At 39.2% G+C, this 25,566-nt stretch overlaps 1 protein-coding gene and 1 long non-coding RNA gene across 8 annotated transcripts in view; one reads left to right on the top strand and one right to left on the bottom strand.

Moving 5' to 3' along the window:
* GRM7 (glutamate metabotropic receptor 7) overlaps positions 1 to 25,566 on the bottom strand; it is an 880,419-nt gene that overhangs the window by 204,698 nt on the left and 650,155 nt on the right. The gene's annotated exons all lie outside the window — the stretch shown is intronic.
* Positions 1,552 to 17,095, top strand: GRM7-AS1 (GRM7 antisense RNA 1). Its single transcript, NR_046606.1, has 3 exons — positions 1,552 to 1,589; positions 16,556 to 16,672; positions 16,821 to 17,095. It is a non-coding gene; the product is annotated as a GRM7 antisense RNA 1 (long non-coding RNA).

Genomic DNA, 25,566 nt, shown 5'->3' with positions numbered 1-25,566 from the left:
TATCTCAAATTCTCTCATGAGACTGCACCTTGAAGGGCTGGTCACAGCTACAGTCACATGAATGTTGAATTGGGGCTGAAGGATCCACTTCCAAGATCACTGACTCAAGGCTGTGGGCAGGAGGCCAATATGAGCCAAATGAGCCTGTGCATTTGGCTTCCTCAATGGCAGTTGGCTGCCCCCAAGCTAGTGATCCAAGAGAGAAAACAATGTAGAAGTCATGCTGTCTGTCATAACCTAGCCTCAGCAATGACATCCTATCACCTGTGCCATATTCTGTTGGTTGCACAGACCAATCCTGATATATTAGGGGAACAGATTACACAAGGGCATAAATACCAAATATTATGAGGCAGATATTTCTGAGGGTTATCTTGTTGGCTGGCTTCCACATGTCCCCAGAATTAGTCCTTATGTAATGAGAAATAGGAGTCATTGGATTAAATACCCCAGTTTTTGTTCGTTGCTGAGACAATTCCAAGTTGCTTCCTACAAAGCCCTTCATGTAGATCCTGGTGAACTGAAGTCCCAGCTACCAATACTGGTAATAGTTATTGGTTTTCTTCTGTTGTTCATTATCTTACCATGCTTCCTGGGATTATCTAACAAACTGATAAGTGATCTCAAACTTATTCGGAAACCCAAATTAAGATAGCTAAAAAGGAGCAGACTTCAGAAACCAAGTCCCAGCATTCTGATTCCAGAGCCCATCATCTGAGCCACCACACACTTTTGGTACTAGGAGTGGGTTAAAAAGACTTACAAACATATGCCTACCATTCTTGTATGCTGTCTCCCAAGAAGCCCTATTAGAGGAGCACCAGTTTCTCTCCTGAAACATCTTGAGGAGCAGGGCTCCTATGAAACCACATGTAGGTGTTTTGAAGTTACTTCCCACCTTACGCAGATGCAGACCCCTGGACTTGTTCTTGCAGGTGGATAATGTCCTTGTGGGATGATGCTTTCCTCAGGGTGGACACAAGTATCTGCCAAGGTGCATGGTTTGACAAGTAAAACATGGGCTGGATTTAAATCCCCTTTGGACTCTGTAGCTTGGGTAACTTACACGGTATCTTTATTGAGTAAAATTCCCCAGGTATGTTTTCTGCACAATTGTATGGTTAGAGCAATATTAATTGTTGGTCTCCCTGTGCATGAAGAGTAAAGAGTCCAGCTCTTCAATGCCTGACAGAGACTCTTACTATGAAGGGAAGGAAATTAGAGCATATGGAGGTTAAGTGTTCTTCCCAATACTGCAAAGGCAGTAATTGGAAGATCTGTCAGTTGAATTATGGAGGAAGCCAGGTGAATAGAGGTGCCTCCTGTGTCTATGGTTCTGAGCTTCCCTTGGGCCTACCATGATTTCTAAGCCTTCTCCACACCCAGTAGTGGTCACCTCAGCCGGCTCCTAGGACTACTTTATAACTATATTACATTTGTTTATTAAAGCAATCAATCCTCTTGGTTATCTTCCTAATGTTCATTATTTCCCCTATCTGTTCCAGATGAAACCCTGTTATTTTTTTCTTTTTCTTTTTTCTTTTTTTTTTCAGGTATCCATCCTCCTCCAGTTGCGTCAGCCCTGTCAGGTGGGTCCTGTAAGTCAGTCATGATTGTCTCATTTCCTGAGACACTAATTGTTTGGGGGATTGGTATGTACAAGATTCTAACAAAAGACTCCCTTAAACATGCAGAGAATATTTGGGAAATATTTTCCCACTTTAAAAAGACACATAGGAAGAAATGGCAATTGATCCGTCAGTGCATAGTCATTTCTGGATGTAACACCTGATACTCCCACAAATACTCTAGCAGTAAGAGAAGTTAGCTGAAGGACACATAGCAAAACAAGAGTGGAAAAGTGGAAAGAGGGCAATAGCTCGCATGTACATTCTCATGACACTGGAATGTGGAATCAACCACCCCCCAGAACACCCTATGATGTTCCCATTATATAAGAAAATGCATTTCCTTAATAGCCGTGTTTTTCTATTGCCAAAGATTTCTCGATAGATTCACCAGCTGTGACACCCCTGGATTTCCACATATTGCATTCTGTTTTTACTTACTTGTCATATTGCCAACAACTAGATATATACTCTGTAAAGATAAGGAGTGGGTCTTCAACTATATATTCCACATAGAATTAAGGGCCCTGTTTATTATAGCTCCTGAATAAATGGAATAACCACAACGACTGAAATTTAACTCACACTTTAAAGGGACTTTTTAAGGTGAAATGAGACACTTGGATTCTGGGTGGGGCCTTGGAAATGTTATTTCTGAGTCTTAGTTTCCTCATCTAAGAAATGAGGTAGTAAAGCATAGTGGTTAAAAACACAAGATATGGAATTACCCAGACATGCGTTCAAATCCTGATCCTACAGTATTCTAAGAGGGCAAGTTTCTTCACTTCTCCATGCCACAGTTTTCTCATGTGTAGAATTAGGCAATAGTACGTATCTCAAAATGTGGTTGTAAGGCTTCAATGAGGTTGTATATTTAAAGTATTCAGCACTTTCAGCTGGGCGCCATGGCTCACGCCTGTAATCACAGCACTTTGGGAGGCTGAAGAAGGCAGATTAGTTGAGATCAGGAGTTCAAGACCAGCCTGGCCAATATGTTGAAACCCTGTCTGTACTAAAAATACAAAAATTAGCCAGGCGTGGTGGTGTGTGCCTGTGGTCCCAGCTACTCAGGGGGCTGAGGCAGGAGAATCACTTGATCCAGGAGGCAGAGGTTGTAGTGAGCCAAGATTGTGCTACTGCACTCCAGCCTTGGTAAAAGAGTGAGATTCCATCTCAAAAAAAAAAAAAAAAAAAAGTATTCAGCCCTTTCTATGCCACATTTTAAATACTCAACTGATAAATCACTAGTTGGTTTGCTGTATGAGCATGGTAAAAATGTACAACATAACATCTACCATGTGGTAGGAACGTAGTAAATCAGTAAGGAAAAAATTACTGATATGAGTCTTGGCTATGAGGCTGAGATGGCACAGCTCCTATTACCCTTTTGAATTAGGGAAAGTTGGCAGTTGAACATAGGCCATGGCATTATCTCTTACCAGTGGGAATTAAATATTGATTTCATTTTCACTTCATTGAGTCTCCTATTGATTTCAACAAGGAAGATGACAGTCAATCACTAAACAGACATTCAGTAAATATCAGGAAAGTTTGCTTTTCCTTCAGGATTGGGGTTTCCTCTGGATTGCCAGAGCCCTTTTGTGAAGCTACACAGCTTATTGGAGAGCCTGGCTTGCTCCTTGGGGCCACAGGCATAAAGATGAATTAGCCATCATAGCTGCCCTTAAGCACCTAACATCCTCTAAACACTGGTTTAGTTGTGTCCCAGAGATTCTGGTACATTGTGGTCTTTGTTTTCATTAGTTTCAAAGAACTTATTTATTTCTGCCTTAATTTCATTATTTACCCAGTAGTCATTCAGGAGCAGGTTGTTCATTTTCCATGTATTTGTGTGGTTTTGAGTGAGTTTCTTAATCGTGAGTTCTAATTTGATTGCACTGTGGTCTGAGAGAATGTTTGTGATGATTTCTGTTCTTTTGCATTTGCTGAGGAATGTTTCACTTCTAATTATGTGGTCAGCTTTAGAATAAATGCAAAGTGGTGCTGAGAAGAATGTATATTCTTTTGATGTGGGGTGGAGAGTTCTGTAGATGTCTATTCGGTCTGCTTGGTCCAGAGCTGAATTCAAGTCTGGAATATCCTTGTTAATTTTCTGTCTTGTTGATCTGTCTAATATTGACAGTGGGGTGTTAAATTCTCCATTATTGTGTGGGAGTCTAAGTCTCTTTGTTGGTCTCTAAGAACGTGCTTTATGAATCTGGGTGCTCCTGTACTGGGGGCATATGTATTTAGGATAGTCAGCTCTTCTTGTTGCATTGATCCCTTTACCATTATGTAAGTAATGCCATTCTTTGTCTTTTTTTTTTTTTTTATCTTTGTTGGTTTAAAGTCTGTTTTATCAGAGACTAGGATGGCAACCCCTGCTTTTTTTTTTTTTTTTTTTGCTTTCCCTTTGCTTGGTAAATATTCCTCCATCCCCTTATAGCACTAAATGCCCACAGGAGAAATCAGGAAAGATCTAAAATTGACACCCTAACATCACAATTAAAAGAAGTAGAGAAACAAGAGCAAACAAATTCAAAAGCTAGCAGAAGACAAGAAAAAACTAAGATCAGAGCAGAACTGAAGGAGATAGAGACACAAAAATCCCTTTAAAAAATCAATGAGCCCAGGAACTGGTTTTTTGAAAAGATTAACAAAATTGATAGACTGCTAGCCAGACTAATAAAGAAGAAAAGAGAGAAGAATCAAATAGACACAATAAAAAATAATAAAGGGGGTATCACCACTGATCCCCCAGAAATACAAACTACCATCAGAGAACACTATAAACATCTCTACGCAAATAAACTAGGAAATCTAGAAGAAATGGATAAATTCCTGGACGCATACACCCTCCAAAACTAAACCAGGAAGAAGTTGAATCCCTGAATAGACCAATAACAAGTTCTGAAATTGAGGCAGAAATTAATAACCTACCAAACAAAAAAAGCCCGACCAAACGGATTCACAGCCGAATTAATTCTACCAGAGGTACAAAGAGGAGCTGGTACCATTCCTTCTGAAACTATTCCAAACAACAGAAAAAGAGGGACTCCTCCCTAACTCATTTTATGAGGCCAGTATCATCCTGATACCAAAACCTGGAAGAGACACAACAAAAAAAGAAAATTTCAGGCCAATATCCCTGATGAACATCTATGCGAAAATCCTCAAAAAAATACTAGCAAACCAAATCCAGCAGCACGCGCAATAAACTAGGTACTGATGGAATGTATCTCAAAATAATAAGAGCTATTTATGACAAACCCATGGACAATAACATACTGAATAGGTAAAAGGTGGAAGCGTTCCCTTTGAAAATCAGCACAAGACAAGGATGCCCTCTCTCCCCACTCCTATTCAACATAGTATTGGAAGTTCTGCCCAGGGCAATCAGGTAAGAGAAAGAAATAAAGGGTATTCAAATAGGAAGAGAGGAAGTCAAATTGTCTCTGTTTGCAGATTACATGATTGTCTATTTAGAAAACCTCATCATCTCAGCCCCAAATTGACTTAAGCTGATAAGCTACTTCTGCAAAGTCTCAGGATAAAAAATCAATATGCAAAAATCACAAGCATTCCTATACACCTAAAATAGAGAGCCAAATCATGAGTGAACTCCCATTGACAATTGCTACAAGACAATTAAATACCTAGGAATACAACTTACAAGGGATGTGAAGGACCCCTTCAAGGAGAACTACAAACCTCTGCTCAAGGAAATAAGAGAGGACACAAACAAATGGAAAAACATTCCATGCTCATGGATAAGAAGAATCAATATCATGAAAATGGCCATACTGCCCAAACTAATCTATAGATTCAATGGTATCCCCATCCCGCTAATATACTACAAGGCTACAGTAACCCAAACAGCATGGTACTGGTACCAAAACAGAGATATAGACCAATGGAACAGAAAAAAAGGCCTCAGATATAATGCCACAAATCTACAACCATCTGATCTTTGACAAACCTGACAAAAACAAGCAATGGGGAAGATTCCCTGTTTAATAAATGGTGTTGGGAAAACTGGGTAGCCAGTTGCAGAAAACTGAAACTGGACCTCTTCCTTACACCTTATACAAAAATTAACTCAAGATTGATTAAAGACTTAAACATAAGACCTAAAACATAAAACCCTAGAAGAAACTGTAGGCAATACCATTTAGGACACAGGCATGGGCAAAGACTTCATGACTAAAACACCAAAAGTAATTGCAACAAAAGCCAAAATTGACAAATGGGATCTAATTAAACTAAAGGGCTTCTACACAGCAGAAGAAACTATCATCAGAGTGAACAGGCAACCTACAGAATGGGAGAAAATTTTTGTAATCTATCCATCTGACAACATCCATCTGGCTAATATCCAGAATCCACAAAGAAACAAATTTACAGGAAAAAAAAAAACAGACCCATCAAAAAATGGACAAAAGATAAGAACAGACACTCCTCAAAAGAAGGCATTTATGTGGCCAAGAAACATATGAAAAAAAGCCCATCATCACTGGTCATTAGAGAAATGCAAATCAAAACCACAATGAGCTATCATCTCATGCCAGTTAGAAAGGCGATCATTAAAAAGTCAGGAAACAATAGATGCTGGAGAGAATGTGGAGAAATAGGAACACTTTTATACCGTTGGTAGGAGAGTAAATCAGTTCAACCATTGTGGAAGACAGTGTGGCAATTCCTCAAGGATCTAGAACCAGAAATACCATTTGACCCAGCAATCCCATTGCTGAGTATAAACCCAAAGGATTATAAATCATTCTACTATAAAGACACATGCACACATTTGTTTATTGCAGCACTGTTCACAATAGCAAAGTCTTGGAACCAACCCAAATGTCCATTAATGATAGACTGGATAAAGAAAATGCGGCACATATACAACATAGGGAATACTATGCAGCCATAAAAAGGATAAGTTCATGTCCTTTGCAGTGACATGGATGAAGCTGACAACCATCATTCTCAGCAAAATAACACAGGAACAGAAAACCAAACACTGCATGTCCTCACTTATAATTGGGAGTTGAACAATGAGAACACATGGACACAGGGAGGGGAACATCACACACCGGGGCCTGTTGGGGGGTGGGGGGGATAGGGGAGGGATAGCATTAGGAGAAATACCTAATGTAGATGACAGGTTGATGGGTGCTGCAAACCACCATGGCACGTGTATACCTATGTCACAAACCTGCACGTTCTGCACATGTATCCCAAAACTTAAAAGTATAAAAAGAAATAAATAAAATGTTGAACTGACAAAAAAAAAAAAAAGAAAAGGTCCTAACAGCCAGTGGTCTCCTGATTTAAAACAACAACAACAACAACAACAGCTTATTTGTTCCCCAGGTTGAGTCTTTTGAGAATGGCCATAATTTTTCAGTCATGCCAGGAGTGGTCATTCTTAGAACAGGGCTGGTAGGGGTACCAGGATCAAGGGTTTGATTAGACATTGAGGATGGAGAGTAGAAACAATAAAAACAATATCTTAAGGCAGGTTGATGAACCTTGAGCAAAATGCAAAGGTGTTCATGCATTCAGGGAATCATACAGGCAACGGGCTAGGAACCAAGTTATGAGAACAAAGGAGAGCCTATGAAAAAGCCATGGAGCAAGAACATTTGACAATAAGTGTCCGTTAAGAGTCTATAATGTTAATGATCTTGACCCAATAGTTCTACTCTTAAGACTCTCTCCTAAACAAATAAGGAATTTCTGTCCATATAACAGACTTCCCTTGCAGTGTCTCCTTGCTATGCCAAATCCCAAAACTTGAATGGATGTGCGAATAGACAGCTGGCTTGCTAGGTGAATAGATGGATTCTTTCATTCCAAAGTGCCTCTTAAGAACCAGAAGCTATCACAAAGATTCCTTCAACAAACCTTAACTGAAACCTATCATGTGTCAGTAATTAGGCTACATACTGGAGATGTATTAATTCACTGCAATAATTATTTGATGACTAATAGGAGCTTGGCACTATTCTAGACAATAAGACGCTCATAATAAAAGGCTCTCGAACTTTACCACAAAATATTTTTGAAAGATTCTTGCAAAAATATTCAGTTTCCAGACTTCAACACCCCATTGACAATATTAGACAGATCAAGGCAGAAAACTAACAAAAAAGTTCTTAAGTTTGACACTTGACTAATTAGACCTAATAGATATCTACACAACATACTACTCAACAATTACAGAATATGCATTCTTCCCACTTGCACATGAACATACTCTAAGATTGACCATGTGCAATGTCATTAAGCAAGTCTCAATAAATTTAAAAAAACTAAATCATACCAAGCATATTCTCAGATCACAGTGGAATAAAAATAGAAATCAATACCAAAAGGCACTCTCAAAACCACACAATTACATGGAAACTAAACAATTTGTCCTGAATAAATTTTGAGTAAACAACAAAATTAGGGCAGAAATAAAAAAAAATCTTTACAAAAAATGAAAATGCAGACACAACATACCAAAATGTCTGATATGTAGCAAAAGCAGTGTTAAGAGGAAAGTTTATAGTGCTAAATGCCTACATCAAAAAGAAAGATCTCAAATTGACAATTTAGCCTTGCATCTAAAGGAACTATAAAAACAAGAACAAACTAAACACAAAGCTAGCAGAAGAAAAAAAATAACTAAAAGCAGAGCAGAATTAAATAAAACTGAGACCCCAAAAATCATACATAGGATCAATGAAGGAAAATTTGGTTCTTTGAAAGTGTAAGCAATATCAATAGACCATTAGTTGAATTAACAAAGTAAAAGGAAGACTCAAATGAGCAAAATCAGAAACAGTGAAAGTGACATTACAACCAATTCCACAGAAATACAAAAGATTCTCAGAGACTATTATGAACACCTTTATAAACACAAACAAGAAAATCTAGAGAAAATTAATAAATTCCTGGAAATACACAACCTTCCAAGATTTAATCAGGAAGAAACTGAAACCCTCAACAGACCAATAATGAGTTCTATAATTGAATTAGTAATAAAAATATCTACCAACCAAAACAACGCCCTGGACTACGTGGATTAACAGCTGAATCCCACCAGATGTACAAAGAAGAGCTGGTACCAATCCCACGGAAACTATACCACAAAATTAAGGAGGAGGGATTTCTCTCTTATTCTGTGAAACCAGTATTATGCTTATACTAAAATCAGGCAAAGATGCAACAAAAAAATAAAACAATGTGTCAGTACCCCTGATTAACATAGATGCAGCAATTCTCAACAAAATACCAGCAAAATGAAACCAGAAGCACATCAGAAAGTTAATTCAACACAATAAAGTGGGCTTTATTTCTGACATGCAAGTTTACTTCAACATACACAAGTCAATAAATGTGATTTAACACATAAACAGAATTTTAAAAAACCCATGCAATCATCTCAATAGGCACAGAAAACAAATTTGATAGCATTCAACATCTTTTCATGATAAAAGCTCTAAAAAACTAGGCATCAAAGGAACACTCCTCAAAATAATGAGTCATTTATGACAAACCCATAGCCAATATCATACTACAACAGCAACAGATAGATAGAAGTATTCCCCCTAAGAACTGGAACAAGACAAGGATGTCTACTCTCTCACTCCCATTCAATGTTAATACTGGAAGTCCTATCCAGAGCCATCAGGCAATACAAAGAAATAAAAGGCATCCAAACAGGAAAAGAGGAAAGCAAATCATTTCTCTTCACCAATGATATTATTCTATACATTGGAAACTGTAAAGACTCCATGAAAAGACTCCTAGATCCAACAAACAACTTCAGTAAAGTTTTAGGATACAAAATCAATGTAAAAAAAATCAGTAGCATTTCTATACACCAATAACATTCAAGCTGAAAGCAAAATGAAGAATATAATCCCATTTACAATAGCCACAAAAGAATAAAATACCTACAAATACTTATAACCAAGGGGGTGAAAGATCTCTAGAAAGAGAACTATAAAAAATTGCTGAAATAAATCATAGAAAACAAAAGAAATGAAAAAATGTCCCTCTTTTATGGATTGGAAGAATGGATATTGTTAAAATGTTCATGCTGCTCAAAGCAATGTACGTATTCAATGCTATTCCTATCAAATTACCAACATCATTTTTCATAGAATTAGAAAAAAGAATTCTAAAATTTTTATAGAACTAAAAAGAGCCACAACAGACAAAGAAATCTGAAGTAAAAAGAACAAAGCCAGATGAATCACATCACCTGACTTCAAACTATACTATAAGGCTACAGTAACCAAAACAACATGGTACTGTTAAGAAAAAAATGCACATAAGCCAATAAAACAATATAGAAAACTCAGAAGAAAAGCCACACACCTACAATCAACTAATCTTTGACAATGTTGATAAAAATAAACAATAGGGAAAGGACTTCCTATTCAATGAATGGTGCTGAGAAAATTACCTAACCATACGCAGGAGCATAAAACTAGACCTCTACCTCTCACCACATACAAAAATTAACTCAAGATGAGTTAAAAACTTAAATGTTAAAACCTCCAACTATAAAAATCCTGCAAGAAAACCTAGGAAATACTCTCCTGGACATCAGCCTAGGCAATGAATTTATGACTAAGTCCTCAAAAGCAAACAAAAACAAAAATTGACAGTTAAGAACTAATTAAACTAAAGAACTTTTGCACAGCAAAAGAAACCACCAATGGAGTAAACAGACAACTTACAGAATTGGAGAAAGTATTTGTAAACTATGCATTCAACAATGGACTAATATCCATAATCTATAAGAAACTTAAATCAAGGAAAAAAACATTAAAAAGTGGTCAAAGAACATGAACAGACACTTCTTAAAAGAAGGCATACAAGCAGCCAATAAGTACAGGGGAAAAAAAAGCTTTACATCACCAGTTGGCAGAGAGACACTAATCAAAACCACTATGTGATACCTTCTCATGCCAGTCAGAATGGCTGTTATTAAAAGGTCAAAAAATAACAGATGTTGGCAAGATTGCAGAGAAAAGGGAACACTTATACACTGTTGGCATGATTAGTTCAGACACTGTGGAAAGTAGTTTGGAGATTTCTCAAAGAACTAAAGATAGAATTACCATTCAACCCAGCAATCCCATTACTGGATATCTACCCAAAGAAAAATAAATCATGCTATCAAAAAGACACATGTACTCATATGTTTTTCACAGTAGCAAAGACTTAAATCACTTCTGATGCCCATTGGTGGTGGATTGGATTAAAAACTGCGGTACGTAACATATATGCCATGGAATACTATGCAGCCATAAAAAAGAACAAAATCATTTCCCTTGCAGGAACATGGATGGAGCTGAAGGCTATTATCCTAAGTGAATCAATACAGAAATAAAAAACCAAATATCACATGTTCTCACTTATAAGTGAGAGCTAAACATTGGATACACATGGACATAAAGGTGAGACCACTAGTCACCAAGGAATCAAAAAGTGGGGAGGACGAGAGGAGAAAAAGGACTGAAAAACTTCCCACTGGGTACTGTGTTCCTTATTTGGGTGATGAAATCAATAGAAATCCAAACCTCAGCATCATTCAGTATACCCTTGCAACAAACCTTCACATGTACCCCCTAAATAATTCATTCATACATACACACACATGAACATAAAAATGTAAAAACTCTGTTCCCAGCCAGGCTCTGTGATGGATACCTGCAATCCCAGCTACTTGAGAACCTGAAGCAGGTGGATCACTCGAGTCTAGGAGTTTGAAACCAGCCTGGGTAACATAGGGAGACCCCATCCCCCCAAAAACAAATCAGTTTCCTATACTCCATTCCCAAAGATTTGGATTCAGTTCACCTGGGCTGGAACCCAATACACTGTATTTTTAACACCAGAGAATTCCGACACGTGTACCACAGATTTTTTTATTTTATTATTATTATACTTTAAGTTTTAGGGTACATGTGCACAATGTCCAGGTTAGTTACATATGTATACATGTGCCATGCTGGTGTGCTGCACCCATTAACTCGTCATTTAGCATTAGGTATATCTCCTAATGCTATCCCTCCCCCCTACCCCCACCCCTCAACAGTCCCCAGAGTGTGATGTTCCCCTTCCTGTGTCCATGTGTTCTCATTGTTCAATTCCCATCTATGAGTGAGAACATGTGGTGTTTGGTTTTTTGTTCTTGTGATAGTTTACTGAGACTGATGATTTCCAATTTCATCCATGTCCCTATAAAGGACATGAACTCATCATTTTTTATGCCTGCATAGTATTCTATGGTATATATGTGCCACATTTTCTTAATCCAGTCTATCATTGTTGGACATTTGGGTTGGTTCCAAGTCTTTGCTATTGTGAATAGTGCCGCAATAAACATACGTGTGCACGTGTCTTTATAGCAGCATGATTTATAGTCCTTTGGGTATATACCCAGTAATGGGATGGCTGGGTCAAATGGTATTTCTAGTTCTAGATCCCTGAGGAATCGCCACACTGACTTCCACAATGGTTGAACTAGTTCACAGTCCCACCAACAGTGTCAAAGTGTTCCTATTTCTCCACATCCTCTCCAGCACCTGTTGTTTCCTGACTTTTTAATGATTGCCATTCTAACTGGTGTGAGATGGTATCTCATTGTGGTTTTGATTTGCATTTCTCTGATGGCCAGTGATGGTGAGCATTTTTTCATGTGTTTTTTGGCTGCATAAATTTCTTCTTTTGAGAAGTGTCTGTTCATGTCCTTTGCCCACTTTTTGATGGGGTTGTTTGTTTTTTTCTTGTAAATTTGTTTGAGTTCATTGTAGATTCTGGATATTAGCCCTTTGTCAGATGAGTAGGTTGCGAAAATTTTCTCCCATTTTGTAGGTTACCTGTTCACTCTGATGGTAGTTTCTTTTGCTGTGCAGAAGCTCTTTAGTTTAATTGGATCCCATTTGTCAATTTTGGCTTTTGTTGCCATTGCTTTTGGTGTTTTAGACATGAAGTCCTTGCCCATGCCTATGTCCTGAATGGTAATGCCTAGGTTTTCTTCTAGGGTTTTTATGGTTTTAGGTCTAACGTTTAAGTCTTTAACCCATCTGACTTTCTTTGAGGATCAGTGAATAGTGATTGAGAATATCATCTGAATTCACTTAGGGCTCATGCTGAATTCTCAGATCCAGCACCCTCCTAGCCTCCGTGATCTCTCTAGGAGCAAGATAGAAGAGGGGCTTTTTGATGCTTTTTGGAGCTTATTACCTTGAAAAAGCATTAACAACAAAACCCAGAAAACTATGTTGAGAGACTACCCATACTTACCCTCAAAGTCTTGAAATTTTATAAAGTCCTCTATTTTTCTCAAAGTCCTATTTCCTGGAATCCTTCTTCTCCCCATCCCCGCATTTCCATATCTGTCCTTAATCCCCACTATATCCCGATCCACCTATATGCTAATGCAACAGTGACCATGCCAGTCACAAAGGCAAAATTTGATGACTAGCTTTTCTAAAACGGTCTCTGTTGAGATCTTGAAGATTTCCTCCCCTTTATTAATGGCTTTTCTTGATGATATCATTGTCAGGAAAGTACATCCCTTGTAGTCTTCCCAGATTTGCTCGTTTCCCTCAAATTTAAATGATGCATACCTTAAAACAGCACATTTATTATTTAAGTGCTATTAGCCCTGGCCTTTGATCCACATGATGGAATACAGCAGGAGTGTACACTTCTACCAGCTCGGAGATGCCTGCTTACCAGTCTGCATTAAAGTCCGGCCTAGCAAAACAGAGTGCACATTGCCAGCAAAACTTACTTCCACATTCTTGTAGGTTCCGTTTGTTACAAGCAACCAGGAAGCCTGGTTTCAAGGATTAATTAGGGACATAGGGGAGAGGAAATAGGCAATTTCACTAAGGAAAAAAATTTTTCTGTATATCAATTGCCCCTTCTCCTTTTCTGATCTTTTTGTTGAAAGGCACAATGTGAGACAAATGATGATAGTACCTTATCATGGAGTCATGGGAGAATATAAGAATGCGGTAAGTTGGAGAAAAAGGAAAAGAAACGTGAATGTCTCTGTTAGCTCCGCCTGCTGTAATAAAATACCATAGACTAAATACAATAGAAATTGCTTGAACAACAGAAATTTCTTTTTCCTAGATCTGAAGGCTGAGAAGTCTAAGATCAAGGTGCTGGCCAATTCATACAGGAGTCTTCTTTCTTTCTTGAGGACAGCTGCCTTCTTGCTGCATCCTTACATGCAAAGGGAAAGAGAGAAAGAAAGGGAGAGAGGAGAAGACAGAGCACTACCTCTCTCTTGTTTCCTTGAAGAGTACCAATCCCATCATAAGGGGCACAGCTTTATTACCTCATCAAACCCTAAGTACCTCCCAAAGACCTCATCTCAAAAATAGCATACATTGGGGGTTAGGACTTTGACGTACAAATTTCAGAGACACAACTCAGTTCATAGCCATGGATTTCACAGGCCATTCTGCCACGTACCAGCCTGTGATCTTGACATGTTACTTAATTCTTTCAGTCTTCTACAAATCTGGAGAAATGAACTTGAGACGAAGTGAAAGTGTTCTGGAAGTCTTGCGATGTAGACACAGATATACCTACATCATAAATGTATGGAAAGAAATTTTCTGGCTGCCAAGTATATGTGTGGATGTGGGGAGAATGTCAGGGGGTGAAGGCATAAACTGACCTCTGGAGGTGGGGAGGAGGGCAGGTGTCATAGCTCTACAAGGCAGTAGCAATGGGTGTGTTAATGGAAACGTAAGCATAGATAAGATGGTACATATGGAAGTACAAAGGAACATCTCAAGTTCCTGGGAGAATTGTTGAAGCAGAAAAAGAAGAGCAGGAACCTTTGACTGTTGTTCCTGTTTTTAGTTTGTTCAAACTGTAGTCTTCCTCCCCCTACCCCGAGTTGATTGCGTTTGTACTTAGAAAAAAGATGTTATAGAATGACACAAGATTCAAATTACCAGATTTAGAAAGGCAAGGTCCAGTCATGTTACAATGATTTTGATCAGAAAGAGCCAGCCTATTCCACCATTTTCCCTTTATTTCCAGGTTAGACAAAGATTTCAGAGGCTACGGTCTAACACAAACCTGAATAGGCCTATGAACCTCCAAAATGAGCTGGGAGAAAGGGCAGCTGGAACCCTATATGAGTCACTTTCCAGGGTAAAGCCCAAGGGAGAATGAGATTCTGAGTTCCACACTCCAACACAGAGAAGGAACAACAGAATAGAACTGTCCATGTGGTATGTGGAGGCAGGTGGGGCTCAAGGGACTTCATCTACCTCTCTTCAATCCATTCAGAATTGGGGAGCCATAAATGATTTTGCATGCAGAAAAGTGGTGAAAGACCTTGTCCCCACTGAGTTTCTACGTGTCTACTTGGGAGGGCTACTCGGCGTTCTTTTTTTATCTAAAGAGCATAGCAGTATCTGAGAGGCAGACCTGAGAATATCCCTTGGTGAGGTTCATCAGACATGAACTCATGTCTAGAAAGAGGTATTATACATCTCCAGTATGTCATGTGGAGGGATAATGATTGTCTTAGTCCATTAGAGCTGCCATCACACAATACCATTAACTGAGTGGTAATGTAGTTCTCATAGTTCCAAAGGTTGGGAAGTCCAAAATCAAGTTGCTGGCAGATTCAGTGTCTGGTGAGAGTCTGCTTTCTGGTTCTTAGATGTTGCCTTCTCTCTGTGACTTCACATGATGGAAGGGGCAAGGGATCTTCCTTGCATCTCTTTTCTAAGGGCACTAATCACATTCACAGGGGCTTGCCTTTAGACCCAATCATCTGGCCAAAGGCCTCACCTTCTACTACCATAACCTTGGGGATTAGGATTTCCACATGTGAATTTTAAGGGGATACAAACATTTAGACCATAGCAATGACCAAGAACTGCGGTTTTACCTGGCCATGCACCAAGGCTAGGGGAACATCGAAGGCACTGGGAACCTGGGAAAAGATGGGAAGTCAGGAGAGTGGCCTGCTCAACATCAGGTTCCACCACCCAGTGAAATAGTAAGCTCAAACTACAAATATACACTTAGTCATTCAAAAATTATTTGCACACCTGAGTTTTTGAACTGATACTTCTATGCACTGCAGCTGAACAATTATTATCAGTGTGACCCATTAGGAACAATAAAACCTGGATCCTAACCCACCTACAGCTCAGAATTTGAGTTGTGGGTTGGGGAAGGTATAGTAGGCGTCAAAGGAAAATGGAAAGAATCTGGGATATGTTAGGAGAGGAAATCCTCAAGCTTTAAATGTATTGCAGGGTGTGCAGCAAGGATGTGAAAACTAGAGTTGCCTTCACAATGAAGTGTCATACTATGTATGAGCTGACAGAAGCATTTCTGATGCCCCACTCAGGAAAATACACAAGTTGGATGATCTCCCTCAGGGAAATGGGATCTATTTTAAATGGGAATCTGAATGCTACAATTACAGCTCAGTTGTCTGTGTAACAACATTATGAGTCTTAAACAAGGGCACAGTGTGAATCAGGCTCCAGGAAACCTGTCTTCTATACCCTGATCCACCTTACAAAATAAAAGGGAAATAAATAGTAGAATGTGAACTTGTGTTAGAGTCAGTTCTGAGTTTTAGGTATTTTATCATGATGAACAAAATTAAAAGTCCCATGGTGGTGTTTTTTTTTTTATTTTTTTCAGGTCTAGAGAGTCATTTGAATTTAGAACATAAAGAATCCAGAATATAGGAGAATTAAATGATGCAAGAAAGACCAGAAGTTAGGAGAATTAATAAGGGCAAGATGGGACTTTTATATGCCTAAGCTGGATACATACCTGGCTGACCACAAAAGTGGCTCTTAAACCTATTAATTCAATAAGAACTTGCCTGCCTTTTTCTTATCTTCCTGCCTTTCCTTTAGGGCTCCAGCAACCATGGATAATGAGATTACCAAGCTCTTCTGGGAAGACAATGTGTTCCAACAATGGCCCGTTCCACATGCTTTCTTTATATGAGTGACACTCCTCTTTATCCACAAGTGAGATCTATGTACCTCTCCTTTGATCTGGGTGGGGGATAAAGATTATTTCATCCAATAGTCTATGGTAGTAATGATGCTATATTGTTTTCCAAGGCTAAATCCTTGGACCGTATCTTCCACCTGTCTCTCTTGATCGCATTCTTAGGATGTGTGCCCTGAGCAACAGCAACCATGCTGTGAAGAAGCACGAACCAGCCTAGACTGATAGATGGCATACAAAGGCTCACATGGAGTGGAACTGAGGTCCCCAGCCAGCAGCCAGCAGCCAGCAGCCAGCCTCAACTACCAGCCCAGTGAGTGAATGAAGCTTCAAATGATTCTACCACTCAGCTTTTGATCCACTTCAGCTGTTGCAATGTAGCGCTAAGACAAGTTATCCCCACTAAATCCTGCCCAAATTACAGATTAATGAGCAAAACAAATTTGTCTTGTTTGAAGTTACTAAGCATCAGAACAATTCTTTTTTATACTAAAGGTAACTGTTACTGAGAAACAGGTCTCAGGTGCCTGACATTACTCACACAAAATGATATAAATCTATTTTGAGATCATCAAAAATGACTCTAATTTTGCTTCGTTGTTAACTTGGAATTATCTATGACCTCTTTAACTCCATGCCTTCTGCCCCAGTAAATTGCAAATAAATGAATGGTATTATCTGAATTGAATATTAAGGTTAACTGAGAAGTCCCATGTAACAGCAAAAGTTCTAGACACAGCCTATGTCCCAGATCAACAGACAGATTTCCAGCAGGAATGAAAATATAATGGCAAATATGTTTGGCATTTTTTTTTTTTTTAGACAGGGTCTCTCTTTGTCAACCAGCCTGGAGTGCAGTGGTGCTATCTCAGCTCACTGCAGCCTCTACCTCCTGAGTTTCAGCGATTCTCCTGCCTCAGCCTCCCAAATAGCTGGGATTACAGGCATGCACCACTACACCTGGCTAGCTAAGTATGTTTTATAGTGAAAGTAAAAGCTGTTAAGTTCTACTAAGAAATGGCTTACTTAAGCAAAAAGAGCAGTAAATATATAGTGAAAAAAACTGGGTTGATATTTTCACGCTGTCATTTTCTAGCTGAGCAAGTCACTTAACTTATCCAGGCCTCAATTTCCTCAAATGCAAAATTGAGGGGAGAATAATGCCTCATTGTCACAGTTCTTGTGAAGATTTAATTCAATGGATTAACAGACAGAAAAGTGCTCTAGATTGTTACACAAAAGAAAATAATGAATGGCAATTTTTTAAATGTTATTTTTAAAAACGACCAGCTAAATCTTAAATGTTAAAACAGCCAGCTAAATCTTAACATTAATCAGAGGTCTAGTTTTCACTTAGGAAGATTGAGGACTGATTTCATTAACCTATATTTAGAGGTATTACATGAAATTTATTTTCCATTTACTGCTAACCTTCTTACTAATTTCTATTTGAGCAGCTATGGTTTTAAATTTGTCTGGCTTCTTAAGAGTATGATCAGCTGGTGCTTGGCTGTTAGCCAAAACATAAGCTACAGGGAACAAGAGCTGGCAGCTCTGGTATTATATTTTTGATGTTTGAAAAACCCAGCCAGTTTAGAGGGTTTTTTAAAAAAGCATTTTAATATCAGTGAATTAACAGCTTAATGTCAGGAGCAAGGTAAAATCTGAGAAAGAAACCTTGATATGAAACCTTTTCCTAGGAAGAGAGGAAAGATCACAGTAACTGAAACCTTCTTATACTCTTGTTTAAAACCTATCATACCTGAATTAAATAAGGTGTCATGGCAGACAGAATGAGAAAGCTTATTCTGTGATGCTTTCTAATGCACTTTACATAAGAACCTTCAAATGGCATTAACTTGCAGCTGCCTTCACCCTGGGCTTAATTTTGCAGAACTTCCATTATCATAGTTACAATTCCCTGACGCCTTGGAAATGCTGCCAAGGCCTTCCTAGTTGAAGACATTGAAGCCGCTTGCTGAAAAAGGAATCACACCACAGCTGTGCTCTCTTGGGGCTTGTGCTCTTTTGGGAACTAAAGCCCCACAGTTCTTACAAGAGAGGTCCAGGAGCCATGCCTATGAGCTTTGACTGTCTGAGAAATGAATTATCCTCACCGTAGTGGATAGAAGCAGGAGTGGAATCTCAGCTGACTGCAGCCACCCCAACCAAGTCCTCTTTTATGACAAAATGAGTGAAACATCACACATCGACATTTTAGAGGCTACATCTGGCTTTCACCAATTAGATGTAAAGGTCCTGAGCCGCTGTAAATATGCACTTTGGGCAACAGTTCAAATTCCACCTCTGTCACATGTCAGCTGGACGAGCTTGGGAAAACTACTTAAGTTAAAATCTGGTGATAAAAGAAGTTCAGATGTATTGAATCATTATGAAGATGAACTGGGATAATCCCCAGACAGTGTTAATACCTGGCCCGGATAAGACCTAAAAGGCAATCAGCAGCTAGTATCAAAAAATAATAACTAGGGAAGCATGGTGGCTCATGCCTCTAATCCCAGCACTTTGGAAGGCCAAGACAGGTGATTGCTTGAGGTCAGGAGTTCAAGACCAACCTGGCCAACATGGTGAAAACTTGTCTCTACAAAAAAATACAAAAATTGGCTAGGTATGGTGGCAGGTGCCTGTAATCCCAGCTACTCGAGAGGCGGAGGCATGGGAATCCCTTGAACCCGGGAGGTGGAGGTTGCAGTGAGCCGAGATCATGCAACTGCACTCCAGCTGGGGTGACAGAGCGAGACTCTGTCTCAAATAATAATACTAATAATACTAATACTACTACTACTACTAATAATAATAGTAACCACTGTTATTATTACAATAATATCACACATTTGTTTATTTATACAAACATTTTCTGTTTGACAAATGTTTATTAAATGCTAATTATGTATAAAGTGAGGACAAAGCAATTTCTAAGAAATTAATACAAAATAAATGACCAAAACTTCTCTGCATCTACCTCAATTTTACCAGGAGGAGAGGAAACAGGACATTTGGGGTGTCAGTGTGATTTGCGTAGCCTTGACTTGTCCACTTTCTCCTGTTTATTACCTCGTGAACATGATTCCAAGAGAGATGCAGAGTGTGAAAGAAAGCATGCCATAGCCCTGCTTGTGAAAAGAGTATTTGAAAGATCAAGTGTGCTGAGGGGAGCGGGGCAGCAGAGAGACTGACTGTCCAGAGGGCAGGTGGGGTCTACAGGAAGGTGCATCTCAGGAACCTAGAATTACGGTACATTTATAAAAATACCACCAGTTAGATTCCTATAATAATTCACAAAGCCTTGCCAATGCAAAGAGCAAAGCTCTGACAGGCCTGATTAAACTTAAATGAAAAAATGCTAAAATGCTTGGTCATCAGCAGAAGCAGAGTCAGGTTGCAGAGGCAAATGGTGGCAATAACCTTCAAAGAACTAGCCAGTGTGCCCCATTGGTCCACATCCCTATTTGGAAAGGAACAGCAGGCTCTGATAGCTTGATGCCATTCAATGCTCCAGCTCATACCTCTAGTCCTCGCTGAATGCTCACCAAGGACCTTCAGTGATCTGGCTTCCCCTGCACTTAAGAATCTAAAGTTGCTGGTTATACCAGTTTGAATGGAAGTACCCCTGACGTTCCATTTCTCTTTAAGAATTAATGAACTAACTATTTCTTTTTTTTTTTTTTTTTTTTTTTTTTTTTGAGAGGGAGTCTCGCTCTGCCGCCCAGGCTGGAGTGCAGGGGCACGATATCGGCTCACTGCAAGCTCCACCTCCCAGGTTCACGCCATTCTCCTGCCTCAGCCCCCCAAGTAGCTGGGACTACAGGCGCACACCACCACGCCTGGCTAATTTTTTGTATTTTTAGTAGAGACAGGGTTTCACCATGTTAGCCAGGATGGTCTTGATGTACTGACCTTATGATCTGCCCGCCTCGGCTTCGGCTTCCCGAAGTGCTGGGATTACAGGCGTGAGCCACCGTGCCCAGCCCTTTTTTTTTTTTTTTTTTTTTTTTGAGATATGGTGTCAACTCTGTTGCCCAGGCTGGAGTGCAGTGGTGTGATCACACTCACTGCGGGCTCTACCTTCCAGCCTCAAGATCCTCCCACCTCAGCATCCCAAGTAGTTGAGACCACAGGCATGTACCACCATGTCAACTTAATTTTTTTATTTGTTACTATTCTTATTTATTTATTTTTTGTAGAGACAGGGTCTCCCTATGTTTCCCAGGCTCGTCTTGAACAACTGGATTCAAAGGATTCCCCTGTCTCTGTCTCCCAAAGTGCTGGGATTACAGGTGTGAGCCATCATGCTTGGCCTTACCATTTCATTTTTATATCAGCCTCATGCAAAAGTCATTGTCCCCTAGTTTACACAGCAAGAGGCACTTGGCCCTAGTTTAGTAAGATCTGTGACATAAGCCAGCCTGAGATTATGGCGTTCTAAAGTCTGAGAATCTAACCTTAGTTGTGGCTCATGGATTACTTGTGAGTCCTCAAGGTGACAGGTACCTTCCTTTGCTATACCCTAATAGCGCTATGAGATTTCCCCTTTATAAGGCTGGGGAACTGTCAAAAGGATAACCATCATAGCCAGGTTAGTTTCCTTTTTGATACTGGCTTGGTAAAACACTGACAATTTGATTTCTTGGTTTGATTTTACAACTTAATGGCTTAAAATTATAGGGCAGGAACCAGGACAGTGCTCCTCAATGGGGTGATTTCTGCCCTTGAGGGAACATGGACAATGTCTGGTGACATTTTTGATTGTCAGCTCGGGGCAGTGCTCCTGGTATTTGATAGACAGAGGCCAGGGATGCTGCCAAAGCTAAACCTGCTACAATGCACGGGGCACCTGTCTCCCTTCCTCCCTCAAACACAAAAACTATCAGGCTCAAAACGTCCGTAGTCCTGAAGTTAAGAAACTGAGTTAAGAGAAAATATTTGATGTCTTTTTTTTTTTTTTTTTGTCCTTCTACATTCAACACTGCACTTGTGTTTTAAAGGAACAGGAAACTGGCATCTCTTGGGCATTTCACGTGTGTAACAGGGGCTCTCAAGTGTATTCCTAATTCTCACAACACTCTTTGAGGTGTTTATCAATATCTCCATTTTACACATGGAAAAACCTAAGGACACAAAGGCTGAATGGCTTGCCTAAGGTCACACAGAACCAAAAGTCAAATCCAGTTCTGTTTGAAGCACTAGATGTCTTCTGTGACTCAACAGTCATAACTCGAATTCAGAAAAAAAAAAATCCAGCTAACTCCCAAACACTATTAGGTTTTAGAGAAATTAAAATCTGAGCAAAGTTTCATCGAAGCGGACTCTGGAGAATAAAATCCTGCACCTGCGCTTTATGGAAAGTATTCTACTGAGCTCCACAGTGCGTCACTGTGACACTTAGATCAAGGTCAGCCTCACAGTGGATTTATATTGCACCACGCATTGATGTATGTTAATTATTCAGTTCTGCAAATGAAATAGCCCCATAGTTTTTACAAGGCAGGTCCAAGGAGCCATGCCCATGAGCTTTAAGAGACTGTCTGAGAAATCAGTTATCCTCACTGTGGTGGATAGAAACAGGAGTGGGATTGCAGCCACCCCAAGCAAGTTGTCTTTCATGATAAAATGAGTGAAACATTCCACATGGGCATTTTAGAGCCTACATCTGGTTTTTACCAGTTAATATATCCAGAGATGACCATTTTCCTTTGACCAAACTTCTGAAAATGTAGCTTGTGTCGGAATACTCTGGTAAGCTTACTGAAGATATAGGTATTTTGAGATTCTATCCCAGAGAGTCTTGTCAGGAATTTGCAATATTAATAAGCATTTCATGTACTTTTGTTGCAATAGGTCTTAAGCCAATCTATGCTGAAAGTTACCTAGAGTGAGCATCTATCTCCAACTTTTTCTTTTTGTTCCTCTCTAGGATTTCTCAATAGGAGAATTACAGATTTTTGTATAGGATGTGTTACAATTATTTCTTAAAAGAGACAAAAAGGATATAAAAATCATACTAGTAGTCAATGTCTGAGTTCAAACTACATGCCGGGTTTTTTCTGGAAGGTTCATTCTCATTGACTCAATACTCACCACAGAACTATAAATCGGATGCCATCATGGCCCCCAGCTTACAGCTAAGGAAATAGATTAAGTCACTCAAGGTACACACAGTTAGTAGTGAAGTGATGGGTTTAGCTCTGCTAAAGTGAAATATTGCCTTTGAGGAATTTTTATACTAGTTGAAAGATAAGTCAAATATGCAAATAGCTATAGCTAGGACAGATGAAGTGCAATAAAAGAAATACTTCCTTTGCACTGGAAGTTCAAAGAAACAAAACAGAAAACATAGTGAAGTGATCAGGTAAGAGGTGGTTTTGGGTTGTCTTTGCTGATGTTCTTCTCTAATTTTTTAAAATTTTTATTATTATGGGCATATCAGAGTTATGTATATTTACAGGAAACATTATGTTTTGATAAGTGCACACAATGTGTAATGATCAAATTAGGGTAGTTAGAATACCCATCACCTCAAGCATTTATTATTTATTTGCATTAAGAATATCACAAGTCCACTCTTTTATTTTGAAACATACAATGAATTTTTGTTAACTGTTGTCATCCTATTGTGCTATCAAACACTAGATCTTATTCCTTCTATGTAACCATATTTTTATATTCATTAGCCATCCCCTCTTCTTCAATGTGGAGGAGGCAGGAATACCAATTAAGTGAGTTTAGCATAATAGATAGAAAAGAAAAAAACAGAAAAAAAAAGGTTTTATCTTGGTAACACTGTTAAAGTGCTGTAATGAATATGTATTCCTTTTTCTAAGTTTCTAAATAATGAGGACATTAATCAAGGTTCCCCTCTTCTTTGCCAATGATTTTAATCCATGCAGTAACAACTATTTTGATGGTCCACTCCTCCTGTGAAAACACCAGGAGAAAGGTGAGAGGTGGAAATTGACGACACTACTAACTGCATAGTCCTAGAGGGAAACATTTTTCAGCCTATAATTATAGGGAATCTGTTTTCTCTGCAAAAACTTTCTTAGGCTGAATTCTCCAATGTCTGTCCTGCAATACTCCTAAGAATTGAAAGCAATTCCCTACTCCCTGGGCTCATTTATTTTCTCCAGGTACTACTGCCTGGCAGCCATCTGTAACTGTAAACAATAGTTCCATTTGGGACAATTAAAATTGATTTTCTATTATGCTAAACACTTAATTGGTATTCCTGCCTTCTCCATGTTGATGAATTTTTAAAACCTGGCATTGGGTGTCTGGGCAGGGGAAAGACACCATCAGAGTCCAGACTGGTCACCTCCTTGTCTCCCCTCCTTTCCCTTCTGCACTCCCCCAAAAACGTCTGTCTTCTCCTTCTCAAAGCACCAGCTGCTAGATCCTTTCCCAAGTGTCCTCCAGGTTGGATAAAAATGTTTTCCCCAGCATTAACTAAGGGCTTTTTGAGATAAAATGACTTTATTTCATAGCTTGACATGAAGAAAGAACACCCACAAACACTTTTGCACCAATCTCTCAAATTCCCAAATGTCTCTCTAATGCTCAAAAAAAAAAAAAAAAATCTAAAACAAAAACATAAACAAGATCCCTACATATCCATTTTCTTCCAAAAAGATTTCTAAAGTACTTCTCTTTCTCTGGAACTCAAAAATGAAGAAAAAATATTTTACCATTGCACACACACACAGGGGCTCATTCTCTTTACCCACTGTGTTTGGGCTCTCCAGAAACTGCATTTCATGCAGAGAAACTTTGACTCTCACACTAGAAGGTAATTTACCAATCTCTTATCTATCTATCTATTACACTTCACTTAAAAAATAATAACTGAATTTTCATCTTTTTTCAAGCTTGGAAATCACCTATATCTCCTCATTCTGCTTAGCATGAGCCTCCTACAGAAGCAAAAGTAAAACAGGCTTGCCACTGAAACTGTTGCTCGTAGATTTTCTCATGGTCACTGAATTGTCATTTCTTTTCTTTTCTTTTCTTTTTTATTTCCAGAGACAGGGTCTCTGTCACTCAGGCTGGAGTGCAGTGGTGCAATCATATCTCACTGTAGTCTCCAATTCCTTCCTGGGTTCAAGTGATCCTCCCACCTCAGACTTCCAAGTAGCTGGGACTTCATTAGTGTGCCACCATGACTGGCTAATATTTTTTATTATTTTTGTGGAGACAGTGTCTCACTATGTGGCCCAGGCTTCTCTCAAACTACTGGCCTCAAATAATTCTCCCACCTCAGCCTCCCAAAGTGCTGAGATTACAGGCATGAGCCACTGTTCCCAGCCCTAAATGGTCATTTTTAATTTTAGGCAATAGCTCCTGAGGAAAAAGACTGGACATATGCTGCTGATATGATACCAAGACATCCTGTTCTTCATGTTCTTACACCTATTTAGACAAGCACTAATGCCTTTGTGGTCTCATTGAGAAATCTCCAGGACAGCTTTATTAAAAGGTAGTTTACCATAGTTTTGAAACTAGATTGAGAAAATCAAAATGAATCCTTAAAACAATCCCTGGGGCTCCCAGGTGTTCAGTCACTTTGGCATGAGATGGTGCATGTCTGGGTATGACCATCTTGGGCAAAACGCAGCTGAAGAGATGAGAGGTAACACTCTGATGAATGCAAACACAGTCTGTAATGAGGGGTCCACTCAATCTTGATGGCAAGCAGTCACAATGTCTGTGGTGCAGTCACAATGTCTGTGGTGCACTCACCACTGTGCAGCAGCCTCTGTATGTGACCAGGTAGCAAATGGCTTCTGTTTATCTTTGAAGGGAGAAGGGAATAGGCTCAGGTGTGATTTTACTCAGGTGTGATTTTAACTTGGCATCACTGTTCAAGTACTGTAATGAATAACTGTCCCTTTTTCTA

The sequence above is a fragment of the Homo sapiens genome, chromosome 3, assembly GCF_000001405.40.
Source record: "Homo sapiens chromosome 3, GRCh38.p14 Primary Assembly".
NCBI lineage: Eukaryota > Metazoa > Chordata > Mammalia > Primates > Hominidae > Homo > Homo sapiens.
The sequence above is the reverse complement of the archived record's forward strand: the minus strand, read 5'-3'. Positions and strand labels throughout refer to the sequence as shown.